Source organism: Homo sapiens, chromosome 6 (genome assembly GCF_000001405.40).
Source record: "Homo sapiens chromosome 6, GRCh38.p14 Primary Assembly".
Lineage (NCBI taxonomy): Eukaryota > Metazoa > Chordata > Mammalia > Primates > Hominidae > Homo > Homo sapiens.
In genome coordinates this window covers 77,431,654-77,448,171 of record NC_000006.12, presented here as the reverse complement: position 1 = coordinate 77,448,171, position 16,518 = coordinate 77,431,654, and the positions used below count along the sequence as shown (strand labels likewise).

General features: G+C 34.3%; 1 protein-coding gene across 1 annotated transcript in view; it reads right to left on the bottom strand.

The window, feature by feature from the left end:
- Positions 1 to 16,518, bottom strand: part of LOC105377864 (uncharacterized) — an 82,536-nt gene that overhangs the window by 37,968 nt on the left and 28,050 nt on the right. Inside the window, exons 4-5 of the mRNA XM_047419660.1 lie at positions 7,668 to 7,858; positions 6,739 to 6,873 (exon numbers count right to left, since the gene is read on the bottom strand). The gene's annotated coding sequence lies outside the window, so the exon portion shown is untranslated. The remainder of the gene's footprint in view (positions 1 to 6,738; positions 6,874 to 7,667; positions 7,859 to 16,518) is intronic.

Below are 16,518 nucleotides of genomic sequence, written 5' to 3'. Positions count from 1 at the left end.
TAACACTTTATAACATCTTCTAACTCCACTATATTGCAATTATACTTTTATGTTAATATTTTTAAGTGACTTGAGCTCTTTTAAGAGTGTGCACTATCATTTATTCATCTCTTCATGGCCTTAGTGCAGAGTCTAGGTGCTGACCCATTAAAGATACTCAATAAATGTTTGCTAAGTTGTTAAATTATTATGGTTAATTTCATAGACTTATTAATGCCTCTGCATTAGCATCTAGCCTTATCACAAGCAATGTCAAGTTACTTGTTTCTTTATTCTTCCTGATAAGTATGCCTAAGTACTTTAGTATATTTATGAAAAAAAAAAGGTTTTTGCTTGTGCACATTAGAATTATATCATATACCAAAATAATAAATATACATGCTCTTGTAGGTGCACAATTAACATATACAATGTCCCATTTCCACAAAATTCTGATGAAATTTTTCAGATTTATATTCACTCACATTATCAAAAATGTGATATGCTGGGGAAAGCACAAGATTTAGAATTCAAATACATGAAATTGAGTCATAATTGTTTCCACTAATTAGCCTGGTAATATTGGGAAAACTCACTTAACTTTTATCAGCACCTTTTTACTTATGGAATCATTATGAGGTTTAAATAGGAAACTTATTGAGTCACTGCTCTTTCCATGATACTGGAAATACAGAATGAATCAAATTTCCCAGTCCTTATCCTCATGAAACTAAAATTCCTGAGGGGGAACTCATACAATAACCAAGGAAATACAGATCATGTGGTGGTGAAAAGTACCATGAAGAAAACTGCCAGTGATATGCAGCTGTGGGAGGGAGTGAGCCAAATTGGTATGGGGGAAGAGTGTTCCAGGCAGAGGTCAGCTATTATCTTTCTTTCAATAACTGCTTTGAACGTTCTGAAAAGTGTAAAAGTGTAAGACATATCAGCAATGACAATAGTATCAATGGAAGCAAAGGGGGTATAATGTAAAATTGGTTTTGAGACATCATCTCCTTTCTACAGTGCCTGAAGAGTCTGTCTTCACTGGGTTGCTTTCATTGAAATTAAAGACAGTTGACTTTCCCCAATAATGGTAGATTGTTGAATTGCTAACATATCTGTGTGTTCCCATGTGTATTTTATTTAAAAAATTATTAATTTAGAGTTTCTAAATTTGCTATCATTTTTCCTTAAAGGTAGTGCCTTTCTCCTATATATATTGGCTAAACCAATTACTTCTTTGGAAATACACTGAAAGAAAATGAGAAAAGTAAATGTATAGACAACTAATGCTAAAATGAGCTTTGCTATATAAAGTTTAGATGCATAGAGAAAAGGCTTTTTAAGTTAGCAAAATATGGCAGTTTTGAATGTGAATAATCTCAGAGTATCTTTAATATTTTATTTGTCTAAGGTACCAACTTTCATTTTGCTCTGTTCTAGCAGATAAATAAAAAAGTAGATATTTCCTTCATAACAGCACTACATATATTGGCATTTATTGATTTCCATTAGTATTTGAGGTGGTTGGCATTTTACTTCTATATGCTGCATTAATAAATTGTGGTTGAATGATGCCTGTGCACTTTAATTGCGGGCCCTCATTTCCTCTTGACTATTTTCAAAAATTCTTCTGAGTTGTGGCATTTGCATTTTCCTTGTTCTTTGTTTTCTTTTTTGAGAAATGTACATATAGCACCACACAATTCTATTTCCCAAGAAATGCTAAAGCACAGAAAGGAATATTCTATTCCAATTTGTGGAAGTTATTTAAAGGATCCCTTTGTTGTTTTCTCTTTCTAAAGTCCAAGAGAACAATGCTTTGCATATGCTTAAACTTCAAGATTGCAAATCAAAAAGTGTGAAATTCATCTTGGCACCTAGGTAAAATTGGTGTGAGCTAATGCAGTCTTTTCTGTGTCATTTTTCAAGACTGGTGTTTATCAGTGGTCAGTTTTCTCTAAATCCACAAGAAGTAAGAGAAATAATACTGATGAATTAAATTTCTTATAAGGTAGAACAAATTAAATTTGCATGTCTACTCTAAATTCAAGGATATGGCATTTTAGTTTTTTGGTGTTAAATTGTCTTTTGTATGATTGATGGAGATAGTGCATAATAACTGTAATTATTTTTATGCCTACAATAATAATTTTTATTTTTTGAATAAGAAATACATTAATGTGACTCAAATATTTTAAAAAATATCCCTTTCAACATCTGTCTCCCATATGCTGTGTTTCCCCTGACCCACACATTCAGGTAATTACTGTTATTAGTATCTGTTTGGAGTTCCTTTGTACACACGTAAGCAAAAACAAATATGATATTTTTCCCTCCTTCCCCCTTCCCACAAAGTATTAACATAATACATATACAATTCCACACAATGCTTTTTACTAACTTTTATTTTAAAAGAATTATAAACGTAGTGGAAGTAGTTTAAAAACTAAGCACGAGGAGATTTCTTGTACCCTATACCCAGTTTTCCCAAGGGTAACATCTTGTGTAACTACAGTACAATTTCAAAACTAGAAAATTGACATTTATACATTCTACAAAGTTTATTCAGATTTCACCAGTTTTGCATGTACTTGTGTAAAATTGGTGAAATCTGGCAACCATTGATCTGTTCTCCATTTTAAAACTTTTATTTCAAAAATGTTTTATATATGAAATCATATCGTTTGTAACCTTTTAAGATTGCTTTTTCTACTCAGCATAACGCTCTTGAGATTCATCAGGTTGTTACACATATCAATCAATAATTATTTTTCATTGCTGCATAGTATTCCACAACATGGATGTATCAGTTTGTTTAATCATTTGCCTGTTAATGGACATTTGGGTCATTTAAATTTTTTGACTATTAGAAATAAAACATCTATGAACATTTGTGTACAGAGTTCTGGGGTAAATACCTAACAGTACAATTACTAGGTCATATGATATGTGCCCTTTTTGATTTATGAAAAACTGCCCAGAGTGGCTGTACCATTTTACATTCCTACCACAGTGTGTGACCACAGCATTTGGTGTCACCACTTTTTCTTCTAGCTATTTTAATAGGCATGTAGTAATATTTTATTGTACTTTAAATTTTTCTAATGGCTAGTAACGTTAACATGTGCTTATTTGCCATTTACATGTTGTCTTTGGTAAAATGTCTGTTCATTTCTTTTGCCCAGCTAATAATGTGTTTTTCTACTACAGAATTTTGATAAATATATATTTATATATATAGTAGATATACGACATTTGTTTGGTATATGGCTTGCAAATATTTCATCCTTGTTTGTAGCTGATCTTTTAAAAATCATTTTTATATGAGGTTTCACAGGATAAAAGTTTTAATTTTGATTAGTTCCATTTTATCAATTTTTTCTTTCACAGATTATGTTTTTGGTGTTATGTCTAAAACTCTTCCATTTATAAGTTCTGAAAATTTTCTTCAGATGATTTGTTTGAAAAAAATATACTTTTATGGTTTATATTTAATTTCATGGCCAAATTTAAGTAATTTTTGCCTAAGGTGTGAGGTTTAGATCAGGGTTCAATTTTTTGCCTATGAATGTCCAATTTATCAAACACCATTTGTTGAAAAAGCTATTTAGCCTTCTTTTATTGAATCACTTGTGTGCCTGTATAAGAAATCAGTTGGTGGCCAGGCACGGTGGCTCACACCTGTAATCCCAGCACTTTGGGAGGGCAGAACACTGTCTCTATTGAAAATGCAAAAATTAGCCAGTGTGGTGATGCATGACTGTAGTCCCAGCTACTTGGGAGGCTGAGGCAGGAGAATTGCTTGAACCCAGGAGGCAGAGGTTGCAGTGAGCTGAGATAGTGCCATTGCACTCCAGCCTGGGCAACAGAGCAGGAAAAAATTAAAAAGCTATCAATTGGCTATACTTCTATCACATGATTTCTGAGCCCTCTGTTCTGTTCTATTGAATACTTGAATACTGTAGCTTTATTGTAAGCCTTGATATTGAGTAGAGTGATTATTTCTACTTTATTACTATTTATCAAATAGTTTTAGCTATTTTAGGTCCTTTGTCTTTGCATACAAGACAAGCTCGAATAAGCTTAAATAAGCTTGTTTATGTCTACCAGTTTCTGACAGGAATTGCATTAAATCTATGGATCACATTGGGGAGAGTTGCATCTTTACTAAATTAAATCTTTCAATCCATGAACATAGTATGTTTCATATTTATTTAGATTTTTTTCTACCATCAGCATTTTGTAATGTATAGTATACGGACATATTTTGTTATATCTATAACTATTTTATTTTCTTTGGAGCAATAATTGTACATAGCTACCTTTTTTTAATAAAAACTTAGTTCACTTTATAGAGAGATTCTTCATTTCTTTTTATAGCTTCATAATATGGCATTATGGATAAGTGCCATATTTTAATTAAGTAATGATCTACAGATAGATACTTAGACGATTTCTAATTTCTTGCTATGATATTTTTTAAAAAATTATATATAATATGTGATATATGATAATATATGTATATGTTTATGGTACACATATATCTTTATAATACATCCCCATAAGTGGGATCATTAAATCAAAGGGTATTTGATTTATAATTTTGAAACATATTTCAACACTGTCCCCCACAGAATTTGTACTACTACCAACAATATATGAGAGCAATGGTAGCCTCACCAATACAGTCTGATATCAGTCTTTCTGATACTCTCATACAGTGTAGTTTTAATTAGCATTTATCTTATTATGAGTCAGTATAAGCAAGTTTTCATTTGTTAAATGGCTATTTGTGTTTGCTTGTTTTTTTGCTTTTGGTTGATGTGATGGTTAGTTTTAGGTTATAATTTGACTGGGTTAAAGGATATACAGAAAGCTGGTAAAACATTTTATTTGAGTGTCTCTGTAAGGGTGTTTCTTAAAGAGATTAGTATTTGAACCAGTAGACTGAGTAAAAGTCTGTCTTCATCAGTGAAGATGGGCATCATTTGCTTCACTGAAGGCCCAGACAGAAGAAAAAGACAGAGGATGAGTATATTTTCTCTCTCTTCTGGAGCTAGAACATCCATCTTCTCCTGCCCTCAGGCATCAGAACTTTATGTGCTTGGGCCTTTAGACTCCGGTACTTATACTAGTGGCCCCCCAGGTTCTCAGGTCTTTGAAATCAAACTGAGAGTTACAGCATCAGCTCCCCTGGTTCTTGAGCTTTCAGGTTCAGACTGTATTACACGACCAGTTTTCCTGATTCTCCAACTTCAAACCACATATTGTGGGACTTCTCAGCCTCAGTAATTGCATGAGCCAATTCCCATAATAAATTTCCTCTTATATATCTATATTTATCCTATTTTGTTTCCCTGAAGAACCCTGAATAATAAATACAGTTGGTGTGAAGGGAGGCTGTTGCTTCATGTCTTTTACTCTTTTTTTTTTTTAAATTGGGTTATTGAGATTTCTCATGGCAGTATAGAAATCTCACTGTATGTTGGAGAGTTTAACCCTTTGTCTGCACCAGCAGTTGTCAATATTTTTCTCATGGTGTCATTAGCCTTTTGACTTTGTTTATGTTGGTTTTGGGCATGCTATAGCAAACAATGTCACAGTGAATAGTTGCGTACTTATAGCATTTCACACATGTGTGCCATATCTGCAGGATGAATTCTCAGTCGTGGAATTTTTTGCATATACAGATGTTTGTAACAATGTTCTGAAGACATAGCAATCATAAGATGTCATTTTTTTTCTAAGTTATTTTGTAATTTAACCTAGTGTCATTAATAAAAACCAACATGCGACCGGGTGTGGTGGCTCACGCTTGTAATCCCAGCACTTTGAGAGGTGGAGGCAGGTGGATCACCTGAAGTCAGGAGTTCAAGACCAGCCTGGAGCCTGGCCAACATGGTGAAACTCCGTCTCTACTAAAAAATACAAAAAAATTAGCCGTGCGTGGTGGCAGGCACCTGTAATCCTCGCTACTAGGGAGGCTGAGGCATTAAAATTGCTTGAATCTGGGAGGCAGAGGTTGCAGTGAGCCGAGATTGTGCCATTGCGCTTCAGCCTGGGCGACAAGAGCAAGACTCAGTCTCAAAAAACAAAACAAAACAAAACAATCCAACATGCTTCTTTTTTAACTGAGTGAGCTAAAGTTCATATGAAAAAATAAACAAAAAGTAATATTTTGGAAAGTTCTTCAAACTATAAAAAGTATGGGGAAACTAGTCCTACCAGGTATGAAAACATATTGAAAGTCTTGTATAATTATAATGTGATAATGCTTACAAATGAATAGACCAATAAAATGGAGTAGAATGTTCACAGATAGCTGTATCCTAAATTAATAAAGAGAAAATGGATTATGCTACATTAAGACATCATTTTTTACATATAAGCTTAGCAAAAAATCCAAGCTATATAGCACATTCTGTAAGACTATGGGAAAAACAGTCCCTCAAATTTTGCTGGTAGGTATTTAGGTGACTACGACATTTGTGAAACGCCATTGGCAATTTTTTTTTTTTTTTTTTTTTTTTGGCTTGGAGAGATGTGTTTTTTTCTGATATTTGACAAAGATTGTGTTTTTGGTTTGGTCGTCATCTTCATAAATTTACATAATATTTCTCACATTCTACTACATTGGATATTAATTTCTTAGTTTGCTACTATGCACAACAATATAGTGTTTCTTATTCTCTGTCCTCATCATTTCCTTTGTAACCCAATATCATTCATTATTTGTACTTTTTAAGTATTTACCCTGTGTCATAGCTTCTCTTTGACCCTCCAGATGTGTTCTTCATCCTGTCCTACTCTGATCTCTGCCCAGGAGGCCGACCTGTGTGGACTGTATCAACTCTTGCCACCCAGTTTCCAGTTAGGTTCAGCATAGATCTGAAAGAGGGAGGAGAGTGGAGTCAAGAACTTTCTATGGTGTCACCTCAGACTGTTGTACTCTACAATCTTTCAGGATATCCTTTTCTACAACTGTTTCTGATAACAGTTCTCACCTCTACCTATGGGCCATAGGCTTGGTAACAACTGCTTTTAGTATCTTCACAATGCTTGTACCTTTGACAATATTCTCTTTAATTAAGCCTCCCTTGAATGACGCTAATTTGACTATGCAGTTCATTTCTTCCTAGGTCTCTAAATAATTCAATTACTATATATGTATATTTACATTTTCCATACCTTATCCACAATTCTGATGTGTAAAGATTTCTAAAAGCTATTTTTTTTTTTTTGTAAATTTGGTACAACTCACTTGGTAGGCAAAACTTGAGTAGAACTCATTACAGTCTTTTTTCTATGACTCAGTATAAATATTTATATGGCTCATTACAGAAAAAATGTAAAGCTGCTTTTAGCTGTCTTTCTATTATGGAGAATTTTGAATATACACATAAGTAGAAGAGCCACATGGAGCTATCACGCAGTCCTAACATCTATCAACTCATGACCAATCTGGCCCCATTCATACTATCATTCACTTCCTCTTATGCTCAGTCAGGAAACAGAAACCACACATGAACTTGCATAGGAAAATATTAATATGAACAGTTGTTAATTATAACAAGGCATTGTAATAATGAGCCATGAGATAGTAAGAAGTAAACACTACTTTAAAGAATGTAGTTGTAATAGATATAAACACCAGTCTCTACCCCTTGGGCTGAGATACATACCCAAGGAAGAGAGCCCAGGCTGAGATCCAGACCTTTATTGGCGATCATAGGCTCACCAGATGACAGAGAAGTCACTGTGGTGCTAAGCTGGTAGAACTTGCTGGCAATCTGCCCAGTATGGTGCTATGGAAAGCCATTCATATGGAGGTGTCCTGCTGGAGTTACGTTGTTATGAAACTTCTGTTGCACTGCTACAAAGTTGAAGTTATTATTCCAACTGATATTCACATTGTCCCATCTTGCTATCTAGCATGACTATCTATTCTAATTGTATCTTATACATGTCCTATGCCAGACCTGAAATCATTTATTTCTCCAAAGAACCCTGATTCCTTTCAGTGGGAAATAATATTTGGAGACCCCTATCTATTTGCTTCGAGTGTTCTTTATTGCTGGGTTAATTAGTTTCTAGAGATTTTACAGGACATAAGTAGAGGAAAAATGTTTAAATTGTCATGAGTTCATACTGTTTTTTTTTTTTTTGAGACGGAGTCTCGCTCTGTCTCCCAGCCTGGAGTGCAGTGGCCATCTTGGCTCACTGCAAGCTCCGCCTCCCAGGTTCACGCCATTCTCCTGCCTCAGCCTCCTGAGTAGCTGGGACTACAGGCGCCCGCCATCACGCCCGGCTAATTTTTTGTATTTTTAGTAGAGACGGGGTTTCACCGTGTTAGCCAGGATGGTCTCGAGCTCCTGACCTCATGATCCGCCCGCCTCGGCCTCCCAAAGTGCTGGGATTACAGGCGTGAGTCACAGCGCCCGGCGAGTTCATACTGCTATTTTTAATTCAAATTCGGACAACAGGGCTAAGTACTTACCTTCTTTCTTTTCTCTGTTATCTCACGCTGAAAAGCCTAGCTCTCAGGAACATTGGGGTTGATAGAATTTCAAATAATTTGTCATTTGGTTTATCCTATATTAACAATGCAACAGTCTCAGAGTAGCAACTATTATATTGCTAAATGATTACTTAAACATCTATTTTATTGTTGTCTTTGATATATTTATCCAGCATCTTAAATTCACTTGTATTGGTCCCTATTTATGTGATTGTGCCACCAACTAAATAATGAATATGTTTGTTTCACTTATTTTAATTCTAAGATTTATTTTTATTTTGAGATAATTTTAGGATTACAGAACATTTGCAAATGCAGTTAAGAAAGTTCTAATATATCATTTGCCTAGTTTGCACTTATGTGAACATGTTATATAACCATAGAAAATGTATCAAAACTAAAATATTACCCTTGGTCAAATACTATTAACTAAAGCACAGAACTTGCTTGGATTTTACAAATTTTTGCATTAATGTCCTTTTTCACTTTCAGGATTCTATACAGAATCCTAGGTCATATTCGGCTTCCACATCTCCTTAGTTTCTTCCCATCTGGGGCATTTCCTCAGTCTTTCCTTGTCTTTCATGACCTTGACATGTTCAAAGAATATTGACCTGTTAGTTTGCAGAGTGTCTCTCAGTTTGGTTTTGTGTGATGTTTTCTCATTATTAGATTGAGGCTACACATTTTTGGGAAAAATGCCATGAAGGAGACGTGACCATGTGCCCTTCTCAGTGCATTATATTAAGGGATACATAGTATCCGTTTGTGCTACTGTTAATGTTAACCTTGACCATTTGGCTAAAGTGATGTCTTCTAGGATTCTCTATCATGAAGTTACTGTTTTATTTCCTTTATAATTTATACATATTGGAAGGAACGTACTTGAGACTATGCAAATATCCTGTTTTCTCTTAAACTTTGCCTGCTAATTTTAGTATCTATTAGAGAATCTTGCCTGTGGCAATTATTACTGTGGTGTTCTTATAGTAATTTTTTCTATTTTCCTATTTCTTTATTTCTTTTCCTCTTTCCTTTTTTCCTTCCTCCCTTCCTTGTTCTTTCTTATAAAATAAATACTTGTGCTTTTATTTTTTAAGAGCTGTATTGTGGTTCTAATTGATGTAGAAGGAACTATGCTTATTTAATGTGTACAATTTGAGTTTGAATATATGCATACACCTGTATTACCATCACTACAATCAAGTAATAGACATACCCAACACCTTCCAAAACTTCTTTGTGCCATCTTGTTTTTGTTTTTGATTTTTTGTTAGTTTGTTTTTTGTGGTAATGACACTTAATATAAGATCTACCCTTTTAACATTCTTTCTACATTTATTAATTTGAATTCTTCTGTGAAGATATGATATTACTTTTCTCCTATTTTATTTATTCATTTATATAAATTCATAATATTTATTTTATTATTTGGATTATAAAACAGCTACTGACATTTACTGTTTTGCTCAAGTTGTTCCAGCTTTGGCCATCTAGAGCTCCTTCACATTTGTTCGTGTGCCTTTTTGATATTTCTTCATTATTTTTGTGGGGGTAGGGAGGTCATTCATACTTTCTGGCATCATGAGACTTTCCTGGCTAACCTCGTATATTCTCTTCCCCAGCCCTAGAATCAACCACTTTTCTAAGGAGCTTTGGTTCATTTTATTGGAGAATGGTGTATTTATTTCTACATACATACATCTATATTTATTTTGTACCTCCTTATCAGAAAATATATTTTAAAAATTAGTCTGTATTGATACTTCTGACTTTAATCCAATGTCATCATGTTTATTCTAGCATCTCCTTTTTCTTATTTGTAACTTATTTCTCTCTTGGTGAGATTCCTGCCTCTCATTATGTATAATATATTTACTTACTTGTTCAACCCTAGTATACAGATAAATTGGTTTCAGAATTAGTGTTCCATATTTCTTCTTATAGCCTTGTCTTCTCCCTGATCTTAGAATAAAGCATTAAGGCTTTCACTATAAAAGACATTTGTGCATTTTTCAGTTTCTTCTTAAACTGCATTTTGTCCATAGCCTCTTCAGATTGTATTGTCCTGTACCACACTTTGTAGTGTTGAAGGAGAAGGAAGGGCTAAATAAGTTTTCAAAACTTTATACTCCAATGACTACATTTGTTGTCATAAAATATGGCTCTGGATGAACTATGTGATTTTTATACAGACCTTAATTTTTGTTCCCCAGAGCTAATTAGTGTAAAGGATTTCTTTCAACAGTCCTGGTAACACCAGTGCCTGTATTGGAATAAGTAGGCAATGCAGCTTTTCTTTTTCATGGTGAATCTCTCCATGCAATTTTTGCTGATATTTTCTGAGTTGTATTGGTACTTTATCCTATGTTCTTCTGTTCTTTTCACTTTCTATTTAATATTAGCAGTCATACTTAATTTGGAATCCGCAGATCATACAAGATTATCTCTTTCTTTTGCAGAAAATGAACATTTAAAAAATTATCTGTTGCTTTTCTATAATTTTTCAGCTTAAGAAGAGAAACAAACCACTCATTTGATTTTTAATGGCTAAATACACTTGGTAAAAGGAGAGTGTGGCAATCCTATGTAGCTCTTTCTCTCTCCCATTCTCTCCCTGTCCCTCTTTTTTAAATGTTAGCGCTACAAATTCGAACACTAGAAAACCAGTAGTGTTGGTTAACAAATCCAAATTTTATAGCTAGAGAAATCTGAATTGCAATTCTGCTTTATCACTTACTGTTTATGCAACTTACTTGTGCTGGACAACTTATTATCGAGCCATGGTTTCTTTAGATATAAAATATGGACCATTATAACCATATCACAGGGTGGTTGCAAAGACTACATGAGGAAAGCTGTTCCCAGTGTTTGGTCCTATCAGATGTTTAATATTTATTAGTGTCTTTCTTGCTGCCAAAAACCCTAATGAATTTTTCAACAGATACTTGGATAGCATTAGGAGGGTTTGTGTGTGTGTGTGTGTGTGTGTGTGTGTGTGTGTGTATGTTGTTATTGTTACTTTAACTAAATCTGTCCAAATAATACATTTTAATCTCTTAAACTGTTGTACCCCTTGGATGGGAAGAGGCCAATTCTGCAAGAAATCATTACTAAGAATATTGGTATAGGCTTTGAGTAAAAAAAAAAAAAAAACCCAAAACCTTTAATTTTTTAAGGGAAACATGGGTGAACCAGAAGTTCCTATATCAATAACCACTCAAAATGTACATTTATTAGACACATTAAATAGAGCTTGTCTAGTTGCCTTTCAAATATTATTGGAATTGGATTCTTTTCACCTAATAGTTCTGTAAGTACTATGATGTCAGGTAGAGAAATCACTTATTTTCCCTTCTTTTATCTGTGAAAAATAAAAGTCATCTCTACAGATCACTGAGAAAATTTTCTGCTGCTTCTTGTTGATTATAAGTGCACTTACTGTATTTACATGGTGTTGAATAGCTTTTGAAAACTACCATAATGTACAGGTTTTCTTTCTGACAGTTTATTTTATGAAAATCTTGTTTTCAAATTTCAAGGAACAAAGAAAAGGAAGCAAATGAGACAAGAAACAAGAATGCTTCAAAGGAAGGATGGTTAAGAATAATGTCAGTAGGTTCCTGAAACATAGCACAGAAAGTGTTTCTGTCTCGTTTTCCTCTCTACCATGCACATGCACATATATGTTCAATACTGGTGATAACAGAGCTGTGAGAAAGGAGAGCAGAGGTTTAATTTTTTCCATTTTTGAAACATTAAATATTAAATTTCTTTATAAATAGAGACATACATTTTTATATACACATTTTTTGCTACCCCTGTTCTCTTTGTGCTCCAAATATATGTAGTCTGCCTACTGGTACTCCAGGACAAGGTGAAGCAAATATGTCTGTTTGTTTTGAGAATACAAAAGGCTTTCCTACATAAGCCTTATTTATATAAAGGCATTTGAAAGACAATGTGGTTTTCTGAAGTAACTCTGGGTAGTTTCTCAAAAATATCTGGAAAAAAAGGTAAAGAAGCCCAGCTATAATACCTTATTAAACAGAAAACAACCTACATTTATATTATATGTTGTATGTTCCCACTTTGCTATTTCTTAAAAAATTCACGGACCAATATTTCTCCTCTGAAATTAAGATAACCTCCATTTAGAAAGCACAAATATCAAACCATAAAAATATGGAAACTTTAATTTTACAGAGGTTAAATAAACAGATTTGAGGTATGAGTCATTATGATAGTGATATTTGGTATTTGTAATAGTATATTTTCTGAGATATTTTATGAAAATATTACTTTTCTTCTGTACTCATCTCATTTATTATGTGAAAAGAAAACATGGTAACTAAAATGAAAATATCATGGATATAAAAACTGTATGAAATGATAATTCCAGAAAAGAAATTTTGAAAAAATGTTAATTGAAAATGGAATATAGTAATTCAAAAGTATAAGTTAAATTTAATTTATGTTTATTTCTAAACTTAATAGTTGAAATGGAATGCTATATTTTAGATTACAAATCTTTAAAGCATCCCTTGCTTTTTCAAAATAAAATACTTTTTTAGAGGGAACAACATTGAATAAATAAATAGGAAATTTGATCTCAATAAAACTGCAGCTCAGTAAAAAGGAAGAAAAAATCTGAGACAAAAGAAAACAAAACTCTAAAAAATCTCTACTATTTTATAATAATCTGATGAATTATTAAAACCCTGAGGTTAAATATTTTAACTGCATTGTCTATTGTGCATAGTATAATTGTGACTATCATAGTGTAGATATTGAATTCTCAGTTTTACTTGTAATACTTGGTTTCTATGTAATAGTGATTTAGATCTTGAGGAAATATCATGGGTTATTGAGTCCCTTCTTTCTTAACCCATGTGAGGAACGCAAGACTTGAGATAATAAGTGATTTGCCTTGAATCTTCCAGCTACTAGTATTGTGATTTCTCTATGGGATAACTCATAATTACTCATTACTAATTGAGTCCTTCAGTCTTGCCTAAGTTAAATGGGAGGAAAGCTATCATCTTCTGTACAACCATAGCTGAAGAGGCAGGATATTTTTATTACCATTTCTTGGTCTTCTCCTGGCAATGTTATTTTCGCATTTCTTACATTTTTAAAAAAGATGAAGAATTATATTTATTTTAAAAATCCTATCTATTTTTCCCAGAACAAAAACAATCTCATTTTTTCTCATTGTATTTGGAATTATATGTATTCTGTCTAGCATTTTTTGTATTTTTCTTCTATAGTTCCTTTTTCAAACCTTTGAGGCTTTTCCCATTATGCCATATTTCACCTTAGGAACTTGCTGCCTCTTGCTAATATTTGAAACTGCTTGAACATTTACAATGTCCTTTCACAGTTATCTCAATATCTGAAGTAATCCTGTAAAGCAGATGCCACTGTACTGTGGGGAGCCCTGGCTTGCCTGGTTTTACGGTTTAGTAGAACTTGATTACAAATCTTAGAGTTGAGGCTCCAGTCCTCATAATCCTTCCAGCATACCACACAGCCATCTTAGGGAAAACTGCATTGACTGTGAAGCTTAATGTTAACACAGGAAAGTACCTGTGTTTGCTCAGCAGGAGTGGAGAACGGAAGGGGCAGGATATAAAGGCTATGTTAATATGTATTACATTGGTTTAGCCATTATTCTAGCTGACTAGCTTACATAAAATTTAGGAAAATGTGGTGCGCTGAGAAGGTAATTTGAAGCTACTAAAGACAATTGAACAGAAGAAACAGGAGTCGTATGGAATACTTATTGTGCGTCAATTGCTGTAAAAAGTGCTTGTAAATACAAATGTATCGAAGATCTATTGTTTTTCTTCTGAACTTTCTCCTTTGGAAATGGCCCTTTCCTTCCTCTGAGATCACCTGTCCCCATCTCTTCTCTCTTGTTGGTAAAAACTATATATTATTGTTGTTGTAGCAACCATGTTATAAACTGACTCAATTCCTGATCACTCTTGGTTCATTCAAAGGGTGGACACTTAGGTGGCCAATGAATCTCTTCCTATATTGGACTTGAAACTTAGAAAATTACACAGTAAAGCAACAAAGCTCAAGAAATGTACAAAACCATGTTTGATGCCACAAGGAACAGGAAAAGTGAAGCATCATATGAAGAAGTAATACATTAATCAAGCCAACATGGGAAGGAGAAAACAGATGAAATATAGTCAAGGTATTCTGATGTTTTAAAATATTTTAATTTTAATGATTTTTGGAGGCTCAGATATATTCCTGTTTTTGGTCCAACAACACACTCTATGATTCATAAATTCCTAAATTTTGTTTAAACTAGTTTGAGTTGTGTTTTTGTCACTTGCAAACCAATTAACACAATTATTTTGTTTTAGAAAATAATTCTGTCAGCATTATGTGAAACATATTAGAGAAAACAGAAGCTGAAGGAAATACTAAATAGTTTAAGACAGTGGCAATAAGGGCCTGAAATTGAGGGCAGTGGGAAAGATAAGAAGAGGAAATAAGAAAGAGGGTTAGATATAAAGTAGATTACAGCTGAAGAAGTAGATTAAACAAATATAGATATATTGTTAACTGAAATGAGTGATAAGGCAAGAGTCTCAATCTATGGAGGTTCATTAAGTCAGAGCTTGAGGGTGTGCCTGGAAAAAAATAGGAGTCGCAGATGCCTCTGTGGCCAATGTTAGCTGAAGGGGTTTTCAAGAGATTTAGTATTTACACATTTCCTTAATGTGGGAAAGGCATGTAGTGGCAGATAGGCAGAAGAATGACTGATCTTGTCTTTGTTCTGTACCTAGGAAGAGAAGTATCAATCAATGTGAAATCTAAGGCTTTAGTTTTAGGAGCTAGACTTGGATCACAGATCTTTAAATTGACACATTCTTGTTTTATGAGAAGATATGCATATTGAAAGATTTTGAGGCCAGAAAGCATCTGGAGATGCCTGATTGTCTGTTTCATGGGAGTCTGGCTGATGTATACAAAGCTTTGACAAAGGTTGTGAAGTAGCAGCTATTAATTTGGAAAAAAGATGGCAGTTTTAAGTGACTCCATCTGTAGGCTTAACTTTCCCTTTGGCATAATCTGTTTGGGGGTTCTGAGATTTCTTTTTCCTTTCTAAGATATAGATATCACATACAGATATACCCAATACAAATGGGTGCACATATGTGCACACACACACATGCTATCACTTTAAACATTCTGGTTAAATGGAAGCAGCTGAAGTAAAGAATGGACATTCAAAAGTCAAGAAGTATAGGTTATTTTTTAAGAGGATGGAATCTGGTAGGCAGAAGGGAAAGTGTGAGTCAGTGGTACAGAGGATGAGAATTTGAGAACATATTACTATAGGACCTTGAAGAATATGGAAGATGTAGACAAAGCATGGTAACTTCATATGGAAGAAGAATTCTTCAGCTTCTCAGTTTCTCCTTCCAGCCATGGGCTTCGACAAAGTTCTCAGAGAAACAGACTCCCAGACGACGCTGGCCATTCCCTGGCAACGGCCAGGTTTGCCATTATCCAGCCACTCTGAGACCTGTTATCAGGCCTGAGGTGAGTCTTAAGAAGTCAGGGATAAAGTCAGAGGTCTTGGGGTGCAGTGCCCTAGCTTTCTAATATTGGGAGCTCCCCTTGCTAAGTGAGAAAGACTCCCAATTGACCCACTCTCTTCCATCCAACTTGGGACATTGGCTCTGTTTCCACCTGATACACAGGGCCTGATGGTCAGGTCCAGGACTCCTACAGATGTGCATCTGTGGCACAGGATTGTGGGCAAAAGCTTCACAATACCCAAATCCCTTAAGCTCCTGTAAGTCACAGGAGATGGGGAAACTACCCACTTCATTCTTGGAGTTCCAGGAAGGCCTTAATTCTGAGGCCTACAGTTTCCAGGGTGCTAAGAAGGGAGTAAATTTATCTCTGGGAGCGTCCTCACTACATCCCACTGCAGGTTCTGAAAGATGTCCTTGTTACAGAGACTGAGGGAAGTCTCTACTCCC